Here is a 26,552-nt window from a genome sequence, read left to right as displayed (position 1 = left end):
TAAAAATACAAAAATTAGCTGGGTATGGTGGTGGGCACCTGTAATCCCAGCTACTCAGGAGGAGGAGGTGGGAGAATTGCTTGAACCTGGGAGGCGGAGGTTGCAGTGAGCTGAAGATCGCACCACTGCACTCCAGCCTGGGCCACAGAGCGAGGTTCTGACTCAAAAAAAAAAAAAAAATTGAGACCTCCAGGTGAGCAAATGCCACTAACTTTTTCATGTAGTCTATTATCCTCTGCACGCTGATGCTTTCAGGCCCTTCTGGATCCTGGAACCAGGTTCATCCATGTCTTTCGGTAAGTGTTTATTGAGCTCTTATGAAGCGTCTGTGATACTGAGACGGGATTGTTCCCTTGACCTTGACCCCCTTGTGGGCAGAAACTGGAGGGGCTCGTTTCACTCAGCCTGCAGTCCATGGATGGCTAAGTGTTAACGGCTCAGTGAAGGGTCAGGGTGACAGCCTCCTGCACCTGCTCTTCTTGGCACCCAAGTTGTTCAGTGTCCAGGAAGAATCAGGTCACATGATCTATTTGAAGGGTAGTGTATGCAGAGGATTTTATTGGGCAATTAAAATGGCTCTCAGTAGGATGGGGAATTAGAAAGGGGATGGTGTGGGAAGAAAATCTTTCCCTGGAACTGCACTGGCTGAAGTTAGCTGAGTCTATCCGTAGCCGCCGACACTCAGCTGCATGTATCCCTGACATTCAGTGGCTTGCATCCCTGACCGCTTGCATTGGTTGCTTCTGTTGCTCTGCCAACTGAAGCCTTTTTATGGGCACAGGATAGGGGCATGGTAGGCCAAAAAGGCAATCATTTGAGCAAAAAAATGGAGTGGGCTGTTTTCACTTAGGGCCAAGTTTCCAGGCTCGAGGGTGGGGTTTAGCCAAGAGCCGTTCTGTGTCAATGTGATGAGGCTGAAAATTTTTGACTTGAGACCATGTTCCTGCTTCTTTGCCTGTCAGCCCAAGATCCTCTGACTCCTACTGGGTTTCATTCTTTGGTTCTTTGAATCTTGAGTTATGAGTCCACCACCACCTCCAAAACTTACTTTAGCTATCCCTTGTTCTCTGCTTATGGCCACAGGATAGCTTTATGTTTCACGGTGAGTAGGTCTGTACAAACCTACCCATAAAAGCTGAGGAAGCTGAAAGGCCAAAGAAAGAGGATGACAAATCTAGTTTTTGAGAAAGAAACATTTAATAGGGACTTTTAATAAACAGGAGCCATGTCTTGGATGGCTGTGAGATGAGTTGGTGGATCCTGTACCATTACACTCAGACCCAGAGCTTATATACCACAGGAAATTTGCCAAAAGGCAGGATTTATGGCAAGCATATGTTTATCATAACATTAAGGTTGTTTTGACCTAAGGGCAGGGTTTGCTGTAAGTACATGCTAACAGTAGATAAAGTAGAGATCTTAGGGGCTGATATGGTTTGGATATGTGTCCCCTCCAAATCTCATGTTGAAATGTGACCTCCAGTGTTGGAGATGGTCCTGGTGGGAGGTGTTTAGGTTATGGAGGTGGATTCCTCATAAATGATTTGGTGTTGGCCTTGGTAATGAGTGAGTTTTTGCTCTATTAGTTCATGTAAGAGCTGTTTGTTTAAAGAAGCCTCTTTAAGAAGGCTCTCCTCTTTCTCTTAATTCCTCTCTCACCACGTTACAAGCCTGCTTCCCCTTTACCTTCCGCCATAATTGTAAGCTTCCTGAGACCCTTGCCAGAAGCAGATGTTAATACCATGCTTCCTACACAGCCTGCAGAAATGTGAGCCAAAATAAATCTCTTTTCTTTATAAGTTACCCAGTCTCAAGTATTCCTTTATAGCAATGCAAAGCAGACTAATACAGAGGCATTCCCAGAAGTGGGGCTAATCACAAGTCAACCTGGCAAATTAGCATCCAAGATGGAGTTGCTTTAGACTGCATACTTTAGTTTCAAAACAGGGGTCCAGCTCCTGGAACCTCTGTCCCATTGGGAGGCCCAAATCCCTCCTTGGCCTGCCAGGGCCTTACGGAGATTGAGTTTAACCTTAGATATATTGAGTTTGAGACCTCTTGGGGGGTCTCCTAACACATAGAAGGATGTGTACAGCAGGTCATTAAGTTGATAGGTCTGTGACTCAGAAGGGAGAGCGGGGATGGAAAGACTGATTGAAATCACCACTAGCATTTGTTGAAATGCCTTCTGTCGGCTAGGCTGGTGATTGTCAACCCTGGCTGCATATTAATACTGCCTAGAGAGCTTTCAAAAATATCAATTTAAGGGCCCCACTGCAGACCAATTGATGCAAATCTCCAGGGGTGAGGCCCAGGCATTAGTATGTTTTAAAATCTCCCCACGATTCTAATAAGCAGGTAAGGTGGAGAACCACTGTGATCAGCAATGGTTTATATTGGTGATTCTCAACCTTGGCTGCAACTTTGGGTTGCCAACTGGGTTTCCAATCCTGTTGGAATCACCTAGGGAACTTTAAGAAGTATTGCCACCTAGTTCCCATCCACAGAGATTTGGACATATTTGTTCTGGGTGGAGCTGGGTCAGGGGATGTAACCAAGGTAGAGAACCTCCAAGCTAGGTGCTGAACACCTAGGAGAAGATTACAAAGCAGTACTAGAAATCATCCTCCCCACTCAAGGATCTCACTACATCATGGAAGGCACCATTAAAAATGTTAGCTATGGCCATCTTCTCTCTTGTGCCTTGTCCTAGCTCTGAAAGCTCAAACTCTAATGGCCTATTTTGATGACATCCTCCGTCCTGCTGACTCTTCTACCAAACTCATCCCAATAGTGCTGTTTGACCTGTTTGCCTTTCCTGTCCATCAGTCTTTCCCAAGTGACTTCCTTCCTAACTGGATTCCATAGCCTATCCCTCCCATGACACCCTCACTAGTCCCCCAAATCTTTTGTCTCCTTGGCTTTCTGTCCCTCTAGCCCACACTCCCCTTATTATCCTTATTCAGTTACCAAATCCTATGGATCCCCCTCGTTCTAAATATTGCTTGGATGAGTCCATTTCTCTCCATTCCTACTGCCACTTTTCTATTTCAGTACACCACCATGAACTTAGATGCCTACTGCAATCTCCCAAATGGCTTCTCTCAGTCTGGCCATGACCCTCTCTAGTCTGTTTGCTGCAACTAGAGTGACCCGCTCAATATGCAATTATTAAAATTTCACTTTTTGAAAATGACATGCAACAGGCCGGGCGCGGTGGCTCATGCCTGTAATCCTAGCACTTTGGGAGGCTGAGGCGGGTGGATCACAAGGTCAGGAGATCGAGACCATCCTGGCTAACACGATGAAACCCCATCTCTCCTAAAAATACAAAAAACTAGCCAGGCGTGGTGGCGGGCGCCTGTGGTCCCAGCTACTCAGGAGGCTGAGGCAGGAGAATGGCGTGAACCTGGGAGGCAGAGCTTGCAGTGAGCCGAGATCACGCCACTGCACTGCAGACTGGGCGACAGAGCAAGACTCCGTCTCAAAAACAAAAAAGAAAAAGGAAAATGACATGCAACAATATTTACTCTTCTGGTTGTACAGGTCTATGAATTTTGACAAATGCATCTAGTCATGAAACCATGACCAAAATCAGGATACAGAGCCATTCATCACCCCCTCACCCCAACCAAATTCAATCATGCCATCAGGTTTTCATCAACTTCTATTCCCACTCATAATTCCTGGCAACCACTGATGTATTTTCTGTCCCTATTGGTTTGCCTTTTCCAGATTGTCCTATAAATGGAATCATATACAGTATGTAGACTCTCTGGCTTCTTGCACTTAGCATATTGCATTTGGTATTCATTCAAGTTATTTTGTGTATCAGTCATTTGGTCCTTCTTGCTGCTGATTAGTATTCCATTGTGTGGATAATCCACAGCTCATTTAGCCATTTTTGCCAGTTGAAGGACATTTGGGTCATTTCTAGTTTTTGGTTATTATAAACAGATCTACTACAAATATTTGTGTACAGGTTTTTGTGTGAACACACATTTTCATTCCCTTTGGTAAATATATAGCAGTGGGATTGCTGGGTCATGTGATAAGTGTATGTTTAACTTTATAAAGAACTGCCAAATTGTTTTGCAAAATGGCGCTGCTATTTTGCATCTCTACCAGCAGCGTATGAGAGAGAGTTCCAGTTGCTCCACATCCTTGCCAAAACTCACTATCGTCTGTGTTTATAATTCTAGGTATTCCAATGGGTGTACAGTAGTATCCCATTTGCATAAATTGCACATTTGGTCATGCTCCTTCCCTGCATACAACTGTCTGCAACTCCCTGTTGCTTTTAGGGTTGACCCCTAATTGTTTAGCATGACTTGAAAGAGCCACTTGCTGGGTGAATTACCACTTGTCTCCCAAGCCCAGGTGTTGCCATCCTGTGCCCCTTTTGCATTCCATGCAATGGCCACATTAAAGTACTTTTAGCTCCTGAGTCCCCTCTGCTTCCCTCAATTTTACATTGCTCTGTATGCTGTTACCTCTGCCTAGAACATTCTCCTCTCTTCTTTCATCTGGTCAATTCCTATTCATTCTCCCATGCACCTTAGAGGTCAGTTACTCCAGATCTCCCTGGTCACCTCTTCCCACTCCCAGTCTCAGCCCTAACTCTCATGGAATACTCTTCTTTGCCCTCCTACGCAGTTTGTCCACCAATAACCTGATGCACACCCTTCTGGCTGTTTCTGACTATGGTAGATTTCAAAATCAGCCATGATACTTTGCAGCTCTTTCTATCAAGAGATGGAGATTTTTCTCTACTCCCTTGAATGATTATGCCCATTTTATAGACAAAGAAACTGAGCCCAAGATCACGTTGCTTGCTGATATAGATGTGTCCAAACCTGGGAGTTCTGGGTCCAGATCCTAAGCTTTTCCCACCAGGCTGCAGAAATTTGGCTCCCATGGATATGACCATCTGCACCCTTGCTTGCCCTGGCCTCCCTTCTGACTGGAAACATCAACTCCCTTCATTAGGGGCACTACTGCTCCCATTCCAATAATATTATTTTAATGGGGATTGCCAACCACAACATGCCCTGTTTCTTTGGCTACAGGGCATATGACCTGAGCTAAGAAAATCAGAGCTTTCCTGGGGACTTTCTGGATTAGAACTATGGGAGGAGATGTGAGCTTGGCCACCATTTGTTGCCATGCTTGCAGCTTCATGGAGAAAACAGGTCTGAGAAAAAGAAAAGTATCACCCAACAGGGAGTGGCATGTGTTGAGGAGAAGGGGGAGGGATGGAGGTGTCTTTTACTAAGCAAGAGCACCTTGGTTCCTCGTTTTATTGTCCCTAAAAGCAGCTGCATCCTAGGCTTCCCAAATTTTAGTTACCTTGGTCAATAAATTCCCCACTTTGCCTCTGTTAGTTGAAACTAGGCCACCTGCAACACTTGAAGGAACTTTCATAATACACAAGACTTGGGGGAATTAATCGAGGGGTAATGATGAAAGCATTAGGTAAAGCTAGCCCCTTTGAACAGCTCAGGGGTTGAGCTGGAGAATGGGTCTGTCGATGACTCAGGTGAAGGTGTGGCCTGGGACCCTGGCTCTACTTATAAAGTGAAGGCTGTCAGCCAAAAATTCAACTTCGATTGCAAAGGCATTTAGGACTTAGGGGAGAAATGAGAATGCATGCTTCTGTAGCAGAGGGAAAAAAAGTGTCTAACAGGTTGTGAATAATTCAGATTTAATTACTAGGAAAAATGCCTTCCTTTTCTTTTTTCTTTTTATTCTTTCCCCTGCCTGACGCTTAGGCAGCAGGTTTAGTAGATATTTTTGTTCCAGAAATTCTACTTGAGAAATAGTGAGCCAAGTCTTCAGTTTTCTTCTGGTTGGGCGTGAAGACCAGGGTGTTTTGGATGTGGGCAGGAAGGAGAAGCAGGTATTCCTCAGCTCTTTCTGTTAAAGACTGCCAGGTATGGTACCCATGATGGGGGGGGTCCTTCTCTAATGCCTGGGATCTCTGAGCTTGTGACCTATAAACTGGAAGGCACAGGTGTGAAATGCTCCCAACCATGCAGATGGGTGCCATTATAATTTTGTGGTACTATATCTCAGACAGGGACTCATCACCACTTAGCAATCCTATTACACACCCACTGCCATCGATTTTAAACCTCATTACTCATTTCAAGCCCTTTAGTACTTAGTTTAGTACCCCACTCTCTCTCCTTTCCAGGAGATGAATTTTTTTTTTTAAATAACAGCTTTATTGAGATAGAATTCATATACCATAAACCTACCCCCTTTAAAGTGTACCATTAAATGATTAAGTGATTTTTACTACATAGGCAAAGCTGTACAACCATCACCATGATCTAATTTTAGAACATTTTTATCACTCCCCAAAGAAGCTCCATACTCGTTAGCAATTACTGCTCATTTCCTCCTCTCCACATCTCCTGGCAACCACAAATCTACTTTTTCTACTTACTGTCTCAAAATGGGATTTGCCTATCCTGGACTTTTCCTATAAATAGAATCATACAACCTGTGGTCTTTGGGTGTGGCTTCCCTCACTTAGCATGGTATTTTCAAGGTTCATTCGTGTTGTAGCAGATACCAGTACTTTATTCCTTTTTATGGCAGAATAATATTCCATTGTATGGATATGTCTTTGATTTTTCCATTCATCAGCTGATGGACAATTGGGTTGTTTTCAATTCTGGGCTATTATGAATAATGGTGCTACGCACATTTTGTACAAGTTTGGGTGTGGACATACTTTCCAATCCTGTTGGGTATATCTGTAAGAGTGCAACTGCTAGGTCATGTGGTAACTCAAAATGATAACTGAGTTACCATTAAATTGCTAGGTCATATGGTAACTTTGGAGAAACACCATTTTATGCTCCTCCTGGCAATGTATAGGGGTTCCAATTTCTTCACATTTTTGCTAATACTTGTAATTGTCTGTCTTTCATATTTTTGTCATTCTCGTGAGTGTGAAGTGGTATCTCATTGTGGTTTTGATTTGCATTTCCCTAATGACTAATGGTGTTGAATATCTTTTCATATGCTTATAAGCCATTTATATGTCTTTGGAGAAATTCTTTTCAAATCTCTTGCTCATTTTAAAATTAGGTTGTCATTTTATTACGGAGTTGCATTAGTGTTACAGCTCTTTTAGAATTTGTCTAGCAGGTTTTCTGATTTTTACCCGGAACCCCTCCCCAGCCAAAAGTAAAAGAAAAAAAAAGCTGCAATAGTTCTTTATATAGTTTAGATACAAGGCCCTTATCAGATATTTGATTTTCAAATATTGTCTCCCATTCTGTGAGTTGTTTTTTCACTCTCTTGATGGTGTCATATGAAGCACAAATTTTTTTTTTTATTTTGATAATGTCCCATTTATCTATGTATTTTTTCTTTTCATTTGTGCTTTTGGTGTCGTACCTAAGAAACTGCTGCTTAACTCAAGGTCATAAAGATTTACTCCTGAATTTCCTTCTAGCTGTTTTATAGTTTTAACTCTTACATTTAGATATGATTCATTTTGATATTATTTTTGTTTATGATGTGAGGTAGGGATCTGACTTTATTCTTTTACATAGGAATATCCAGTTGTCCCAGCACCATTTGTTGAAAGACTATTTTTTCCTAATTGAATTGTCTTGGCATTCTTGTTGAAAATCAGTTCACTATAAATATCTGACCTCTCAATACTATTCCACTGATCTATGTGTTTATCCTTATGCCAGTTCCACACTATCTTCATACTGTTACTCTGTGTTTGAAACTCTAGGTTAGAAATGGGGAATGGTGAACTCTAGGTTAGAAATGGGGAATTATTCAGCTCTGTTCTTTTTCAGTATTGTTTTGGCTGTTCTGGATTTCTTGGATTTCTGTATGAATTTCAGAGCCAGTTTATCAATTTCTGCAAAAAATGCTGTGGGGATTTTGATAGGGATTGTGCTGAATCTATAGACCAGTTTAAGGAATACTGCCATCTTAACAATATGAAGCTTTCTGATCTATGAATACAGGATGCCTTTCCATTTATTTAAGTCTTAAGTCTTTCAATATTTTGCAGTAGTCAGTGAACAAGTCTTGCACTTCTCATTGATTTTATTCCTAAATACTTGATTATTTTTTATCTTATTGTAAGTGTAATTGTTTTCTTAATTTTCGTTTTTGGATTGGTCATTGCTACTGTATAAAATATTTTTGTATATTGCTCTTATATTTTGCAAGCTTGGTGAATTTGTTTATTAGGTCTACTAGTTTTTTGTGTGTGTGTATTCCTTAGAATTTTCTATATACCACTGGGCATGGTGGCTCACACCTGTAATCCCAGCACTTTGGGAGGCTGAGGTGGGTGGACTATTTGAGGTCAGGAATTTGAGACCAGCCTGACCAACATGGTGAAATCTTGCCTCTACTAATTACAAAAAAAATTAGCTGGGTGTGGTGGTGCATCCCTGTAATCCCAGCTACTTGGGAGGCTTAGGCAAGAGAATCACTTGAACCCGAGAGACAGAGGTTGCAGTGAGCTGAGATTGCACCATGGCACTCCAACCTGGGCGACTGAGCAAAACTCCGTCTCAAAAAAAACAACAAAAAAAAAAAAAAAGAAAAAAACAAGAATTTTCTATAAATGAGATTATGTCATCTGCAAATAGAGATCGTTTTACTTCTTCCTTTCCAATCTGAATGCCGTTTTTTTTTCTTGCCTAATTTTCCTAGCAGAGGAACTTTTGAATGTTTTAATATAGTGGTCATAAGATATAGCATGGGCTTTGGAATCAGTCAAAGCTGGTCATAAATTCTGGCTCCACCACTTCACTCACTTTGAACTTTGATATTCACCTGTAAAAATGAAAAACACAACTTGCAGAATTTTTTAAAACATTTTAAAAAATCAATGTATAATTTACATGGAATAAAATGTACAGACCTTAAATGTTCAGTTCGATGAGTTTTGACTATTGTACACATCTGTGTAGTAACCATTCTAAAGTAAGATATGAAGCATCTCCATCATCCCATGCCCCTTTCTGTTCAATCTAATTCTTCTATCGCCATAGATTCAATTAGCCTAGGCTAAGCCTAGACTGTATAAGTGCCGTCATACAGTATGTTCCCTTTTGTGACCAACTTCTTTTGTCAAACATAATGTTTTGGAGGTTCATTCATCGTGTTGTAGGTGTCAGTGGTTTATTACTTTGTATTGTTGAGTAGAACAGGTTGAGCATCTCTAATCCAAATATCCAAAATCTGAAATACTCTAAGATACAAAACTGTTTGAGTGCCGACATGATAATCAAAGGAATTACTCATTGAAACATTTTGGATTGGGGGTTTTTGAATTAGGAATGCTGAGCTGGTAAGTATAATGTGAGTCTGAAAAAATCCAAAATCCAAAATGCTTCTGGCCTGAAGCATTTTGGATAAGGAATATTGAACTTGTATGGACATACTACAATTTGTTTATCCATCTTCCTCTTGATGGACATTTGGATTATTTCCAGTTTGGGACTATTGTGAATAAGGTTGCTATGAACATTTGTGCACAGGTCTTTTTGCAGATGTATATTTTCATTTGATGTAGATAAAATACCTAGGCATGAAATTGCTGAGCCATATAGGAGATATGCACCTGGTGCATATATCAGTGCCCTGGCTTGAATATTTGTTCCACCAAAGCTCATGTTGACATTTGATCCTCAGTGTGGCAGCATTGGGATGTAGGGGGTCCAGTGGGAGGTGTTTGGATCATGAAGGCAGATTCTTCATGAAGAGATTAATGCACTCCCTTGGGAGTGAGTGAGTTCTCACTCTGTTAGCTCCTGTGAGAGCTTGCTTTGTTTTTGTTTCTGTTTTTGTTTAGTTTTGTTTTGTTTTAGACAAGTTCTGGCTCTGTTGCCCAGGCTGGAGCGCAGTGGCACAATCTTGGCTCACTGCAGCCTCGGTCTCATGGCCTCAGATGATTGTCCCACCTCAGTCTCCCAAGTAGCTGGGACTGAAGGTGAGAGCACCACCATGACAGGCTAATTTTGTTTATTTCTTTTATAGAGATAAGAGTATCACTAAGTTGCCCAAAAAGGTCTCAAACTCCTGGGCTCAAGCGATCCTGCCATCTTGGCCTCCCAGAGTGCTGAGATTACAAGCCCTGCACCTGGCCAAGCGCAGTTGTTAAAAATAGCCTGGCACCTCCCCTCTCTCTCTTGCTTCCTCTCTCACCATGTGATCGGCATACACCAGCTCCCTTTCACCTTCCACTAGGAGTAGAAACAGCCTGAAGACCTCATCAGATGCAGATGCCCAATCATGAACTTTTTCCAGACATCAGAATTGTGTGCCAACTAGACCTTTAAAAAAAAAAAAATTACCCAGCCTCAAGTATTCCCATCTAGCAGCACAAAATGAACTAACACAATCAGTAAGGATTAAATTTGTTTTAAATTACAACAAACTATTTCAGATCCAAAACCATTTTCGAGGCATGTGATCTATGTGACTTACACTCTTCCCAGCTGTCCTCCCTTCCCCAGAATCTGTTTCCTCATTCACCTGCACCTTCCTACACTTTGCACTCCCACCAGCACCCCCTCAGCTTCTCTGTTCAAGTCTCTGCCTCCCAAGCAACCCAGCAACTTGCCACACAGTCTTCCCTTTAATGGGCCTTAATAAAAACCCTTAACCAAGCCTGTCATCACTGTCAGTAGGAGGTGAGTAAGCAATTAGCATTCCTTACTTAATGGACCAGTATTTCTCTTGGGACGTCAGTACCAATTAAGAGATGGAAATAAAATTTTAATCTTGTTTCCTCCTGAACATAGTACATGTGTGGTTGAACGCTCTCTTTCCAGGGCACCACACAGGTGAATTTGAAAACATCTTTATCTAGAGGGGCACTGCACAGTGACATAGAGGCAATCCTAAGTCAGGCTTTAGAAATTAAAAAAAAAAAAAAAAAAAAAAAGGCCGGGCGTGGTGGCTCATGCCTGTAATCCCAGCACTTTGGGAGGCCAAAACGGGTGGATCACTTGAGGCCAGGAGTTAGAGACCAGCCTGGCCAACATGGTAAAACCCATCTCTATCAAAAATATAAAAATTAGCCAGGTGAAGTGGCATATGCCTATAATTGCAGCTACTTGAGAGGCTGAGGCAGGAGAATCACTTGAATCTGGGAGGTGGAGGTTGCAGTCAGCCAAGATCATGCCACTGCACTCCATCCTGGGTGACAGAGTGAGATCCTGTCTCAAAGAAAAAAAAAAATAGAGAGACAGAGTCTCACTATTTTGCCTGGGCTGGTCTTGAACTCCTGGCCTCAAGCAACTCTCCCGCCTTGGGCCCCCAGAGCATTGGGATTACAGGCATGAGCTAGTGGCCCTGGCCAGGCTTTAGAAATGTAAATGCATCTTGTGCTCTAAGAAGGGACAAATTGACCTATCCAGCCTATGAAGTTGTGGAGTATGTTTCTATAGAAAGTGTTTGATAAAAAGAAATATAGAGGATGCATTTCTGGCAATTGAGAAAGCATCATGTATGAAGAGATGCCCAGAAATGGAGACAATGTATTTCTGTTTGGATAACAGAAAGCTCTTATTTATTTGGCAGATATGTATTGAGCACCTACTATGTGTTGGTCACTCTTCTATGTGCCAGGTTTACAGCAGGAAATAAAACAGACCTCAGTGTCTTCTCTCATGGAGCTTACATTCTGGATTAAGGGTAGGTGGGGACCAAGAAGCCAAATGAGTTTGGTTGATAGTTGAAGAAGTTTGGAGATGAGCAATGAAAATGATTAGAATTCTTCAAAGTAGAATTACAGGAACAGATGATGGACCTTGGATCTCAGATCTCATCTGGGAAAGGGAGTGAAGAAATGCCTTCACCTCATTCTCATAGAGCTTGGTTGGAGGGGCTGAGAGGCTCTCCCCAGCAGGAGCTGGGGAAGGATGAGGATGGGCAAAGGAGTCATTAGCTGGTTTGTTGACTGGAAGCAGGTTCTTGAGGGAGGAATGCTGAAGGGCTGGTATGAGGGAGTGGGGAAAGCTTGCAAGCTCACTTTTCGGGGTGCTGGTGGCTAGACAGATCCAGGGCTCTGGAGCTGAGGATGACACAGAATAACAGAATGGTTCCAGGCATGTGCTTTGAAATCAAACAGATCTGGGTTTGAGTTGGGGTGTGCCACCTGCTGTGTGTGTGACCTTGAGAAAGTCTTCAACTTTCTCTGCAAATGAAGACTTTTGTTTCTTCTTCTTTAAAATGGGAACAATGCTATGGCTTGTTGTATGGATTTAACATGTTAATATAATTATTACATATCTGAGATTATTGTTATTCTTATGGATTGTTTGCAAAATGTCTTCCTCCTATGTTGCTTCTCCATGGGTGGATTCACAGTCGTGTCTGGAAAATGACTGGGAGGAAACTCACTTCTTCCTCCTGAGACTGTCATGGCCACTGTCCCAGGGGTGAGCCGCCCAGATGTCTAGGGTTGCTAAGGGTCCATTGCAGCTGGGCAGGGGCTCCTGGCTGTCTCTCCATGTCCTTGCACTCAGAGGCCTCTTTTCACTTTGTTTTTTAAATATTTCCCGAAGCTCTAATTGCTACACTTCCTCCAATGTTTTTAATACAGGCAATCAGTGACTACTGCAATTAGGAGGGCCTAATTACCATCGGCATTCTTTCTCTTCTCCCAGAAACCACCATCGGAACAGTCACAAATAAACCTTAATGAAGACCAAAGATCTTTCTCCAGTCTAAAGCCGTTTGTAATCATGATCGCTTATTGTCGAAGACAGCAGGCAGAGGAGTCCTTTGAAGGACTGCTGCATATTCAGCAGCAGCAGGGAAAGATGCTCTGCGGCCAGGAGTCTGTGGTCCAGGCGAGCAACAAATGGGGCTTGCATTCAACCTATTGTTGTTGTTATACTTTAATGTATTTGTCTGATAAAGTCTCTTGAGCTATTCTATTAAAAAAGTTATCGGGTGGGTGCGGTGGCTCACGCCTGTAATCCCAGCACTTTGGGAGGCCGAGGTGGGTGGATCATGAGGTCAGGAGTTCGAGACCACCCTGGCCAACATGGCAAAACCCTGTCTTTACTAAAGATACAAAAATTAGCCAGGCGTGGTGGCAGGCATCTGTAATCCCAGCTACTCAGGCGGCTGAGGCAGGAGAATCCCTTGAACCTGGAGGCAGAGGTTGCAGTGAGCCAAGATCGTGCCATTGCACTCCAGCCTGGGCGACAAGAGCAAGATTCCATCTCAAAAAAAAAAGTTATCGGAAATGTAGCACATGAATGGTAAAGTGCACTAATCTCAAGTGTAAAATGTGATGAATTTTTAAATATGTACAGACCTCATGTAACCATTAGAGAGATGAAGATGTAGAACAATTCCAGCATTCTGGAAGGCTCCCATTCCCTTCTATGGTGTATCCGTCAAGGTCGAATCAGAAAGCAGAACGACAGTGAGTGTTAGGGAATCAGGGATAAGAATTTGACCTTACACAACTGTGGGAGGAACTGTGGAAATATAAGTCCAAAGAAAGGGAGTGAGGGGATCCAAGAAAAGGAGCTTGCCAGCTGTCCTGCAACACTGATATGCAGATGAATGAGTCAGAGTTTGCAGGGCAGCCCAGAAACTGGTCACATTCAGTGGCAGATGTGAGACCCCAAAGGGGCTGGGGGAGAAGCCCATGGAAGGCTCTTGGGTCTTCATTAGCTGCTGCCTCTGTGAAGCCACATTAAGATGGAGCAGGGACCCCTCTTAAGGGACTTCCAGGAAAATTCCAGGCGCCTAGCTAGCCTTATAAAAAGTAAATGAGCATGATGGTGCAGCAAAACAGCATAGCACATGTTTATCTATGTAATGAACCTGCACATGTATCCTGGAACCTAAAATAAAGTAAAATTAAATAAAAAAATAGTAAATGAGGCCGGGCACAGTGGCTCACACCTGTAATCCCAGCACTTTGGGAGGTCAAGGCGGGTGGATCACCTGAGGTCAGGAGTTCGAGGCCAGCCTGGCCAACATGGTGAAACCCCATCTCTACTGAAAATATAAAAATTAGCCCGGCGTAGTGACACACACCTGCAGTCCCAGCTACTCAGGAGGCTGAGGCAGGAGAATCACTTGAACCTGGGAGGCGGAGTTTGCAGTGAGCCAAGATCACGCCGCTGCACTCCAGCCTGAGCGAACGAGAGAGACACTGTCTCAAAAAAAAAAAAAGAAAGAAAGAAAGAACGAGAAAAAAAGTAAATGAGCAGCCTGATACACGAGGAGATAGTAACAAAGTAGTCTCCCAAGCAAGCCGGAGTCACAGGTGTTTTGGTTCTCTATAGAACCTAAAAGATAACATTTTTTTTTTTCTTGTGATGGAGTCTCACTCTCTCGCCCAAGCTGGAGTACAGTGGCAGGATCTCAGCTCACTGCAACCTCTGCCTTCCGGGTTCAAGCAGTTCTCCTACCTCAGCCTCCCGAGAAGCTGGGATTATAGGCACCTACCACCATGCCCGGCTAATTTTTGTATTTTTAGTAGAGACAGGGTTTTACCATGTTGGCCAGGGTGGTCTTGAACTCCTGACCTCGTTATCCGCCCACCTCGGCCTTCCAAAGTGCTGGGATTACAAGTGTGAGCCACTGCGCCCGGGCAAAAATAACATCTTAACACAAGTTCTTGAGTTGCTTTTCAGAAACCCCCACCAGTTAGAAAATGCTACCACCATCACATAGACACCAGGTGGGGGAAACTGAGGACGGAACTCTGACAGCCATTCTTTGTTCTAAAATTTCCTGGGGTTGTGGAGAGAGTCACACACATGGGCCAGACTTTCATGTATTGGTTTATGATTTTGCCTGCAATTGCTGCTTTCCTGAAATGTACCCTTGTCTTTAAAAACCCTTGCTTGTAAGTCACTGGGGAGTTCAGGTCTTGAGTGTTAGCTATTCATTGTCCTTGCTTGGTACCATGCAGTTAATGCCCTTTTCTCCCACTGCAAATCTCAGCATCAGCATCTGGCTTTATTGCACTGGGCAAGCAAGCCCCAGTTTGGTTCAGTCACATCTGGTGATGGATGGGAGTTACTGCTGGTGAGCTGGTCCTGTGTTGTGGAAGAAGAGCTGGACACAGTGTAGGGAGAGCAAAGATAAGCTGGAACCCACCAACACCTCTGGACTGTCCTCACCACCTTGAACCTTCAGAGTGCCCTGGTGCTGCTTCCCTCCTGCCTCCCACATCTCATACACCTTCACTTTTGGCAGCTCTCACCAGGAGCCTGATAGGGAAGGGGATTCCAAGAAGCATGACTCCCATTGGAACCAAACTGACTGTAGAATAATGCAGTGCCTATGCAACGATGTTTTTGTTCACCAAATGTGGCTAATAGCGTCATGTCCTCCTCAAGCTGTGAGATTGTAGGGCCCTCGAGAGAGAGGCTTTATATTTCAACACACGACACAAGTACAGCACCTTTCCCAGAGCTGGCAAGGGGAGGAGGTGGCCACCGCTCCTCTTTCCTGTTCCCATCTCCCTTTAAGAGAATTGGGTCAGATTCCAGAACAAGGGGCCACATTTACCAGTGGCCAAGGTCACAGTGCATTGACATGATATTTGTGGCCATCTTTGGCTGCAGAGGTAAGAGCAGTGGTTCTCAACCTTGGCTCCACAATGGGGTCATCTGGGGAGCTTTACAAAATACTCACGCATTGTCCCTCTACCCCAGGAGATTCTGATACAATTGATCTGGAGTAACAGTCTGGCATCGAGATTTTTAAAAATCTCCCCAAATGATTCTTTTTTTTTTCTTTCCTTTTCTTTTTTTTTAAGACACGGGGTCTTGCTCTGTCCCCCAGGCTGCAGTGCTGTAGCACAATACAGCTTACTGCTGCCTCAAACTCCTGGGCTCAAGTCGTCCTCCCACCTTAGCCTCCTGAGAAGTTGGGACTACAGGTGCCTACCACCATGCCTGGCTAATTTTTGTATTATTATTATTATTATTTTGAGATGGAATCTCGCTCTGTTGTCCAGGCTGGAGTGCAGTAGCACGATCTTGGCTCACTGCAAGCTCTGCCTCCCAGGTTCATACCATTCTGCCTCAGCCTCCCTAGTACCTGGGACTACAGGCACCCACGACCACGCCTGGATAATTTTTTGTATTTTTAGTAGAGACGGGGTTTCACCGTGTTAGCCAGGATGGTCTCAATCTCCTGACCTCGTGATCTGCCTGCCTTGGCCTCCCAAAGTGCTGAGATTACAGGCGTGAGCCACCACGCCCAGCCATGTATTATTATTATTTTTATATGTAGAGATGGGGGTCTCACTATGTTGCATACGCTGGTCTCAAACTCTAAGGCTCAAGCAATCCTCCCGCCTCAGCCTCCCAAAGTGCTGAGATTACCCAACCTAGGACTGAGGAGAATGGGTAGCCACTATGTCCAGCCTACCCCAGGTGATTCTAATGGGCAGCCAAAGTTGGGGATAACTGGAGGGTCAAGACCTGAAGCTTGGTAGGCTCCTCCTCTTCCAGGCTTTCTTCTTTCCCATGCAGCTAAAAAGTTAAATGAAACTGAAGCTAGCTGGCCTTCTTGGGGTAGGTCTGGGTGTTACAGAACAGAATGGGGGTCTACTCACTGGTGAAGCAAAGCCAAATCCTGACATTAGGATTGCAATAAGAGAAAGTGTGGCCTTTACTAAGGGTGCCAAGCAAGGAGAATCGGGCAGCTAATGCCTCAGACCTGAACTCCCTGATGGCTTACAAGTAAGGGATTTTTTTTTTTTTTTTTAGATGGGGTCTTGCTCTGTCACCAGGATGGAGGGCAGGGGTGCGATCTCAGCTTACTGCAACCTCCACCTTCCAGGTTCAAGCAATTCTCCTGCCTCAGCCTCCCAAGTAGCTGGGACTACAGACACGCACCACCACACCCAGCTAATTTTTGTATTTTTAGTAGAGATGGGGTTTCACCATGTTGGCCAGGATGGTCTCGATCTCCTGACCTCGTGATCCACCCACCTCGGCCTCCCAAAGTGCTGGGATTACAGGTATGAGCCACTGCACCCAGCGCAAGTAAGGGATTTTAAAGTCACAGGGGGAGAGGTTACAGACAAAGTCATAAATCAATACGTGAAGGCTGTACTTTGGTTTGACCAAAAAAGGTGGGACTTCTTGAAGTAGGGGCCCACAGGTCACAGGTGGGTTCAAAGATTTTCTGATTTGTGATTGGTTAAGGAGATGAAGATTTGTTTGAAGATTTGTTTAAAGATTTGGGATCAGCTGAAAAGACTGTTAGCTCTGGCTTGTGGATGTGACCCCTTTCAGGTCCCTCAGGAAGAAATTTAGGATGAAAAATGGGGCCGGGTGTGAAACCCTGTCTCTACTAAAAATACAAAAATTAGTTGGGCGTGGTGGCACCTGCCTGTAATCCCAGCTACTTGGGAGGCTGAGGCAGGAGAATCACATGACCCCAGGAGGTGGAGGTTAGAGTGAGCTGAGATTGTGTCACTGCATTCCATCCTGGGCAACAGAGGGAGACTCCATCACAAAAAAAAAAAAAAAGAAAAATGGCAGTCAGAGTTCCATCCTCAGTTCTCCCTTTTCTGAGGGCTGCCTCCCAGTGGATCCATTTGGTGGGGGTCCAGATTTCTGAAAAATAAGTCAGGCACATTTGTTAAGATTTTTGTCTTTAGTTTTTATGGGGAACCAAACATTCTCATGACTCTAACATCCTTGGCTTTTGTTTTAAGCACCATTACCATCTTGCTTATCAAATTGCTCATTTACTTCTCAGTCCTAGCTAGGTGCCTGGAATTTCCCTGGAAATGTAACTGCCCAGTGGGTTCACCTTGCCTGCTGCCTAGACAGAGCCAATTTCTCAAGACAGGAGAATTGCAACAGAGAAAGAGTAATTCACGGAAAGCCAGCTGTGCGGGAGACCGGAGTTTTATTATTGCTCAAATCAGTCTCCCCAAGCATTCGGGGTCACAGTTTTTAAGGACTACTTGGTGCGTGGTAGGGAAGCCAGTGAGCCAGGACTGCTGAGTGGTTAAGTAGGAGATGAAATCATAGGGAATTGAAGCTGTCCTCTTGCGTGGGGTCAGTTCCTGGATGGAGGTCACAAGATCAGATAAGCCAGTTAGTGGGTCTGGGTGACGATCCATCAAGTGCAAGGTCTGCAAAATATCTCAAGCACTGATCTTAGGAGCAGTATAGGGAGGGTCAGAATCCTGTAGCCTCTAGCTGCATGACTCCTAAACCATAATTTCTAATCTTGTGGCTAATTTGTTAGTCCTGCAAAAGCAGTCTAGTCCCCAGGCAATGAGGTTTGTTTTGGGAAAGGGCTGTTATTGTCTTTGCTTTACACTATAAACTAAGTTCCTCCCAAAGTTAGTTCAGCCTAGGCCCAGGGCAGCCTGGAGGTTAGAAGCAAGATGGAGTTGGTCAGGTCAGATCTCAGTTACAATTTTGCAGTGGTGGTTTCAGAAGGAACTCAAGCTTTTCCTTTATTTCCTTGCTTTCATGGTCGAGGGTTGCCCAGAAGGCCCCAAGAGGAGTCCCTGCTTTGTCTCATGATCACTTTTTCTTTCCTCAACACTCTTTGCTTTTGTCTCAATGACCCACTGATGATAAGATGTGGACCAATGGGGAACAAGAGGTTCCCCTTAGGTCCGAAGGTCAAGTCATCAGCTTCAGCCCAGTTGACCAGAGATTCCTGCATGTACTGACACTCGCTCCTCTTCTCCACACAGCTGTGAGGGGTGATCCACGGGGTCAGAGAGAGGCTATCTCAAAATCCTCTGAGATTCTTTAATTTTTCCTTCTTTTTTTTTTTGACAGTCTTGCTCAGTCACCCAGGCTGGAGCGCAGCTTACTGCAAACTTCTGGATTCAAGCAATTCTAGTGCCTCACTAAATGTGACTAATAGGGTCATGTCCTCAAGCTGTGAGTAGCTGAGGTTAGAGGTGTGCACCACCACGCTAATGTTTGTATTTTTAGTAGAGGTGGGGTTTCACCACTTTGGTCAGGCTGTGATCTGCCTGCCTCAGTCTCCCAAAGTGCTGGGATTACAGACATGAGCCACCGCTCCCAGCCTGAGAGTCTTAAAAAATCCTCTTGTCTGGGCCCCACTGAGGACCAATTAAATCAGACTCTCAGGGAGAGGTGTTTTGTATTTTATATAATTTTGCTTATTTTACAAAAATTTTTATTGAGTTACATATTACACTAGGATACATTAATCTTGAATCTTGACTGTACAGCTCAACAAAATTTTTTTTTTAGTTAATTTGTTTTGAAAGAAGGTCACCGAGGCTGAAGTGCAGTGGCATGATCACCACTCATTGCAGCCTCACCCTCCTAGGCTCAGGTGATCCTCCCACCTCAGCCTCTGGAGTAGCTAAGACTACAGGTGCAAGCCATCACGCCCAGCTAATTTTTAAATTTTTTATAGAGATGGGGTCTTGCTATGTTGTTTAGGCTGGGATTCCTGGCCTCAAGCAATCCTGCCATCTTGGCCTCCCAAAGTGCTGGGATTACAGGTGTGAGTCACCATGCACAGCCAGCTCAATGAATTTTTACATAAGTTTATGCCTATGTACCACCACCCAGATGAAGCTTTAGAACTTTTCTAGCACCCTCTAGGAAGTTCCTTAAGTCTCTCCTGATTCAGAATGGCTGGGATCCTGGCTAAACCCCCCCCAAGCCTGGAACGGTGGCCCTAAGCGAAAACAGCTGACCCCATTTTTCCTCCCAAATGTTGCCTTTTTGGCCTGCCATGCCCCTATCCTGTGTCCATAAAAAGACTACAGCTGGAAGAGCAACACAAGTGGCTGAGTGGTACACAGAGAAGCAACTGAGCATCAGAGACTATGGATAGACACAGCTGACTTCAGACTGTGCAGCTTTAGAGAGAGGCCCAGCCGGAGATGTCCCGGTTTCAGGGAATGATCGCTTTCTTCTCACACCATCCCCTTTCCAACTCCCCATCCCACTGAGAGCCACTTCCATTGCCCAGTAAAATCCTCCACATTCATTACCTTTTCAATCCGTTCCTGTGACCTGATTGTTCCTGGACTCTCGACAAGATCCCGGGTGCCAAGAGGGCAGGGGCTACCACCCTGACCCTCCAGTGAGCTAGTTGGCACTTTGCTGTCCCTGGGTGGCAGAGCTGAAAGAACACTGGTTGTAATATACTTGGATGCTGCTGTGGGGCCGCACAGAGCCTGCTCCTGCCATAGAGGAGCAACTGGCCAGTTCCAATATTCATTCGCTCCAGTTCCCACCCTCACTTGCTTGCATGCTCCCTCTTGTGAGGAGTGGCCAGTAGTGGGCTGAGATAAATGAGCCACTCCAGTTCCCTCCCACAAAGTGGGTGAAGGGAATTATCCTGTCTCACTCATAGGCAGTAACTCCTGCCACCCCACCAGAACAGGGCACCACTATTCTGACCTCTGTACCTCTAGATTGGTTTTGCCTGTTCTTGACATCATATAAATGAAGCTGTATAGTATGTGAGATTCATCCACTTTGTGGGGACAGCAGTCATTCATTCCACTGACGAATATATCACAAATTATTGATCCATCCTATTGATGATGAAAATGTGGTTGTTTTCAATTATTTGGCTATCGTAACAAAAGCTCCTATGAACATGTTGTACACTTTTTTTTTTTTTGACATGGAGTCTCACTCTGTTGCTCAGGCTGGAGTGTAGTGGCAAGATCGCAGCTTACTGCAACCTCCACCTCAAGTGATTCTCCTGCCTCAGCCTCCTGAGTAGCTGGGATTACAGGCTCTCACCAAAACACCCAGCTAATTTTTGTATTTTTAGTAGAGACAGGGTTTCTCCATGTTGGCCAGGCTGGTCTAGAACGCCTCACCTCACGTGATCTGCCTGCCTTGGCCTCCCAAAGTGCTGGGATTACAGGTGTGAGCCACTGTGCCCTGCCTGTACACTTATCTTTTTTTTTTTTTTTTTTTTGAAACAGAGTCTCACTCTATCACCCAGGCTGGAGTGTAATGGCACAGTCTCGGCTCACTGCAACCTCTGCCTCCCAGGTTCAAGCGATTCTCCTGCCTCAGCCTCCCGAGTAGCTGGGTTTATGGGCGTGTGCCACCATGCCCAGCTAATTTTTGTATTTTTAGTAGAGACGAGGTTTCACTATGTTGGCCAGGCTGGTCTCAAACTCCTAACTTCAAGTGATCCTCCTGCCTCAGCCTCCCAAAGTGCTGGGATTACAGGCGTAAGCCACTGCGCGCAGCCTCACTTTTATTTTTTGATGAACTTGTTTTTGTTAGGCATACACTTGAGGACGGGATTGTTGGGACATAGGGCAGGAGTATGTTTACCGTTTATAGCGTTGTCCAAAAGGCCACCAATATGGCCAAAGAGTAGAAAGGAGAGCTTTATTGGTGATATCAGTTTGTAAACTGGGAAGAGACAGTCTCCAGCCTGGACCAAAGGTGCTCTCTTTTCAAAGAGGGAAAGAGCAGGTTGGGTTTTTTGCCTCACAGGACTGGTATTGTACATATTCAGCAAGTCTGGGGGAACGGCTGTACATATTTATGAGAGGCGCTGAGTGCATGTGAATTGGGTAAACATATATGTAACATACATCTCATGCTCACTTTGGGGTAGTGTTCTAGCATTAAAATGATGTGGAATTTTGATCTTTACATAAAAAGTGAACTATAGGACACAGAAACAGTTTGTGCACAGCCTCTATAAACTGCCAAAACTGGCTTAAGGTCTGCAGTTGCTTATCAGAAAAAAAAAGACCGGTCCTCTGTCCGACAGAGTTGTAGTGGTCTGAGTTGTAAATCAGAGTTAGGAGAGGCCTGGTACTTTGCCTGGTACCTCCTATTGTGTTAGGCAGTTTAGAAAGGGTGTGGCTTTTCTTGTAGCAATTTACGGAGTTCGCATGCCAATCACTCTGAACCCTCAACCTGTGGGTAACTTCTGTTTCCCTAACCATAGGGCCCATCTTAGTTGATAAAGGGGAGTCTATTTTGGTCTCTCAGATCACAGTGGATAGGGCATAGGGTTTTGTTTGTCTGTTTCTAAGTTCCCAAGGTGGTTCTAATGTTTAGCCATAGTTGAAAACATCTGACGTGGCCGGGTGCGGTGGTTGGGCACAGGTGGGTGGCCCGCAGTGGCGGGCCTCCCAGCACTTTGGGAGGCTGAGGCAGCGGATCGCCTGAGGTCAAGAGTTCAAGACAAGGATGGCCAACATGGTGAAACCTTGTCTCTACTAAAAATACAAAAAATTAGCCAGACATGATAGCACATGCCTGTAATCTCAGCTACTTGGGAGGCTGAAGTGGGAGAATTGCTTGAACCCAGGAGGCAGAGGTTGCAGTGAGCTGAGATTGTGCCACTGCACTCCAGTCTGGGTGACAGAGCAAGACCCAGTCTCAAAAAAAAAAAAAAAAAAAAAAAAATCTGACCTGCAAGTTAAGTAGAGGAGGTAATTTGGGGCTGCATTGTAATAAAACCCAAGTTAAGGCTGGGTGCAGTGGTTCACGCCTGTAATCCCAGCACTTTGGGAGACCAAGGTGTATGGATCACTTGAGGCCAGGAGTTCGAGACTAGCTTGGCCAACATGGCAAAACCCTGTCTCTTCTAAAAATACAAAAATTAGCTGAGCACAGTGGCATGCGCCTGTAGTCTCAGCTACTCAGGAGGCTGAGGCAGGAGAATTGCTTGAACCCGGGAGGCGGAGGTTGCAGTGAACCAAGACTGCACCACTGCACTCCAGCCTGGGCAACAGAGTGAGAACTTGTCCCCCAAACAAACAAAAAACAACAAAACCCAAGTCAAAAAAAGGAGTAGCTGTGTCTTTAGCATAATAAAGCCAGATTAATTACTTGTCGATGAATAGGTCAAAGTCAAGTCATGAGAGACAAAAACATTTATTTGTGGTGGGGGTTTTTAAAGGGACGTTAGCATTGTGTTTGATTTCAGTTGCCTTGAGAGAAAACAAGCCATAGCCTAGAGTGGGTATGTCTACTTCCCTATCTTACCCTGCACCTTCATTCATGGGACAAGGATTCTTCCTCACTATCTGGAGAAACCAGAAGAATGTATCAAAGCTTACCCTCCCCACCAGCAAAAAGAGCAGAGGAGAAGTCTCTTCATATTCAAGAGACGCCTGAGATGGCAGATTCTGCAACACATGAGGCCAGCCTGGGGAATTGGGGTCTTACTTTTCTGGGGGTGGCAGGTAGAGCTCAGCTTGAGGACAGGGCATGTGGAGCACTGAACAGACTTTAGAGGGAGAGGAAAATAATAACATACAATATTGCAATTAATAAATAACTATATAATGAATATAAATGTAGTTAATATATAATAATACATAATAAAATAAATGGACTAAGGAAAGAAACACTTTCTTAAGACTTAAGTGTTCTGTAATCCCAGCACTTTTGGGGGCAGAGACAGGAGAATCGCTTGAGGCCAGGAGTTTGAGACCAATCTGGGAGACATAGTGAAACCACATATCTACAAAAAAATTTTGAAAAATAGCAGGGCATGGTGGTGTGTGCCTGCAGTTCCAGCAACTTGGGAAGCTGAGAGATGAGAAGATCACTTGAGCCCAGGAGCTCAAGGCTGCAGTGAGCTATGATTGCACCACTGCACTCCAGCAAGACCCTGTCTCTAAAAATTAAAAAGACTTAAGCGTTTGTTCTTGGACTGAAGGAAACATACACCTGTATTCCCTGCCCCAGTCCAGTTTCAACACTAGCTGTTTATTTCCCACTGGCGAATGAAAGATTTAGTTTCTATCCTATGATTAGGGGATGGCAGAGGTGGACTCTGTGGAGCAAAGTCCCCGCCAGGCAGCTGAAATCCTAACACACCAAAGACTGTCTCTAAAGATAACCCAGCTTTGGTTTACATAGCAGACGCCATGTCAGAATTAGAGTTATTTCCTCTGTCCTAGCGGGAGAGGTAATGGAAGGTCATGTTATCATTCTTGGGAAGATGAATTTCCTCAGAGCAACAAAAGGCCTTTTTATTGTGATGCTCTGGGCCCCTCTGGAGGAAATCAGGCTCTATTCTCTAGGAAAGGGGAAGTAATAATAGTCAGTCTTTAAGGAACAAATAAGAGAAGCTCTCAGGTAACTGTGGGCCTCCTGGGAACAATCCATGAACTACTTTTAAAGGGTGAGTAGCCCCATTGTCTTGGAAGAATGAAATAGAGCTTTTTAAGAGCTTAAAGGAGATGAATAGCTCTTGCACGTGTCCCTGGGAAAGATAAAAAGGCAGAACTTCCTGGGTGGCTAATTGGGGGTAATGGTGACAGCTCTAAGTGGAAACGCTAAGCAAATGCTCAACTCTGTGGAGTGAGATTCTCCCTTAGAACTGCCATGCATTGCAACAGCTGCGGTCAGTTGAAGGATAGTGTGAGCACTGGCACATGAAACAGAAACCATGTGTGACATCAAGGAGGGTGTTAACAATGGGTGAGTGGACCCTCAAGGCATGGAAGCTGGCCTATAATATTTTCCTCCCCACTCTGAAGCCTGCAAATGTCCCCAAATGTCCCTTCCTCAAAATCTGCTATCCCTCTTCAACAGACAATAAAGCTCCAACCATCTAAGCTGCCTTTTTTTTTTTTTTTTGAGACAGTCTTGCTCTGTCACCCAGGCTGCAGTGCAGTGGGACTATCTCAGCTCACTGCAGCCTCCACCTCCCGGGTCCATGTGATTCTCTTGCCTCAGCCTCCCAAGTAGCTGGGACTACAGGTGCCCACCACCACACCTGGCTAATTTTTGTATTTTCAGTAGAGACAGGGTTTCACCATGTTGGCCAGGCTGGTCTCGAGCTCCTGACTTCAAGTGATCTGCCCACCTCAGCCTCCCAAAATGCTGGGATTACAGGCATGAGCCACCACGCCCGGTCTGTTGCCAAAAATTTACCATCTCAGGTGTCTACTGTCTTCTGCCCTCTTCTGCTGGTGGAGAGGAATATGCTCTGATCTCTGTTTCTCCTGGTGGAGAAGGAGGAGGGGGAGGGAAGAAAGAAAGAGTCCTGGTCCCATGGATGGGGGGTACAAGGAAAGGGGTTGCAACCATAATAGATTTGTTGCCTGATGCACACAGCAAGTTGATATGCCAAGACATCAGGTTGCAGCAGAGGGCCACCAAATGAGGAGATGGGAGGGAAATCCCATCTCCAACTTCTTGAGGAATGTTAGATACAGTTAGGTCCCCTCTTCAAACAACTTATCCAGTTTCCCCGTTCTCTATCCTATAATTCCAAATACCCCCTTGCCTTTGCTGTGCCCCATCTTGTCTGAATATGCCTAGGCATGCCTGAACTTGCCACAACCCCAGTCCACATTCCTTTCCTTATTAGGGAATAGGTTACCTTCCTAGTCCCTCCATAAATAACCCCCCTTCTCTCTCTTGTCACCTCCCTTACATGCCTACCTTATCTAAGAAAGTTAAAATGTTTAGTCAGTTGGGACTAGTTTAGACTGTGCAGTCCAACCCTAGCCAATTGGGGAAAGACACAGAAGCAGAAGCTGCAGTAGAGTTAATAAAAACCCCTGCTTTCCTCTGTTCTGTGTTCTCTTGCCATTGCTCCATATGCAAGATGCACCCTTCTGCAGAAGTAAATTTGCCTTGCTGAGATGTTCTCTAAGTGCTTGTTTTCTTTGTGACTCCGAGCTCTTTTTCCCAACAAGGAATTTGGGGATAGGGTTTTTAAGGGTTTTGGAGTAAGCTGGAGTGTGGAGATTGTTGATTGGTTGAAGAGTGCAGAGTAAAGTTATGGGACAGGGGGATGAAGAAGCTGTGTTCTCATGCTGATCCTGTTCCTCTGGGGATCTTCAAACTGATTGGCATCAGCTGTTTCACTGGAATTTGAGATCTGAAAAACATCTTAAGTAATTCTTAAACAAAAGCCTTATGATTCTAATGTCAGGAACAATGGGGATGATACTCAATTTTTTTTTTTTTTTTTTTTTGAGAGATGGAGTCTTACTTTGTTGCCAGGCTGGAGTGCAGTGGCGGGATCTCAACTCACTGCAACCTCTGCCTCCTGAGTTCAAACGATTATTGTGCCTCAGCCTCCCGGGTAGCTGGGATTACAGGCGTGTGCCACCATACCCAGCTAATTTTTGTATTTTTAGTAGAGATGGGGTTTCACCATGTTGCCCAGGATGGTCTCGGTCTCCTGATCTCATGATCCACCCGCCTCAACCTCCCAAAGTGCTGGGATTACAGACGTGAGCCACTGCGCCCAGCCAAAAGTCAATTTTTTTTTTTTTTTTTGGGACAGAGTCTCACTCTGTCACCCAGGCTGGAGTGCAGTGGCACAATCTTGGCTCACCGCAACTTCTGCCTCCCAGGGTCAAGTGATTCCCCTGCCTCAGCCTCCTGAGTAGCTGAGACTACAGGCGTGTGCCACCATGCCTGGCTAATTTTTGTATTTTTTAGTACAGACGGGGTTTCACTGTGTTGGCCAGGCTGGTCTTGAACTCCTGACCTCGTGATCTGCCCACCATGGCCTCCCAAATTGCTGGGATTACAGGCGTGAGCCACCATGCCTAGCTAAAAGTCAATTCTTAAACAGTCTTA

At 44.7% G+C, this 26,552-nt stretch overlaps 1 pseudogene, besides 3 other annotated features; it reads left to right on the top strand.

The window, feature by feature from the left end:
* On the top strand, positions 7,129-7,183 carry RNU7-24P (RNA, U7 small nuclear 24 pseudogene; annotated as a pseudogene).
* Positions 10,240-10,319: an enhancer, noted in NCBI's record as "active region_10599". NCBI's record gives its function as "activates an Ori minimal core promoter by ATAC-STARR-seq in GM12878 lymphoblastoid cells {active_cell/tissue: GM12878}" and the evidence as "EXISTENCE:reporter gene assay evidence [ECO:0000049][PMID:35858748]".
* Positions 23,775-24,464: an enhancer, noted in NCBI's record as "OCT4-NANOG hESC enhancer chr16:24394102-24394791 (GRCh37/hg19 assembly coordinates)". NCBI's record gives its function as "activates a minimal SCP1, AML or CMV promoter by ChIP-STARR-seq in primed H9 embryonic stem cells {active_cell/tissue: H9 hESC(primed)}" and the evidence as "EXISTENCE:reporter gene assay evidence [ECO:0000049][PMID:30033119]".
* Positions 24,438-25,637: an enhancer, noted in NCBI's record as "MED14-independent group 3 enhancer chr16:24392929-24394128 (GRCh37/hg19 assembly coordinates)". NCBI's record gives its function as "activates an origin of replication core promoter dependent on BRD2, BRD4, P300/CBP and CDK7 cofactors, and independent of MED14, by STARR-seq in HCT116 cells {active_cell/tissue: HCT116}" and the evidence as "EXISTENCE:reporter gene assay evidence [ECO:0000049][PMID:35650434]".

The sequence above is a fragment of the Homo sapiens genome, chromosome 16 (assembly GCF_000001405.40).
Source record: "Homo sapiens chromosome 16, GRCh38.p14 Primary Assembly".
Classification (NCBI taxonomy): Eukaryota; Metazoa; Chordata; class Mammalia; order Primates; family Hominidae; genus Homo; species Homo sapiens.
Note: the sequence above shows the minus strand (reverse complement) of the source record. Positions and strands in the feature narration are given on the sequence as shown.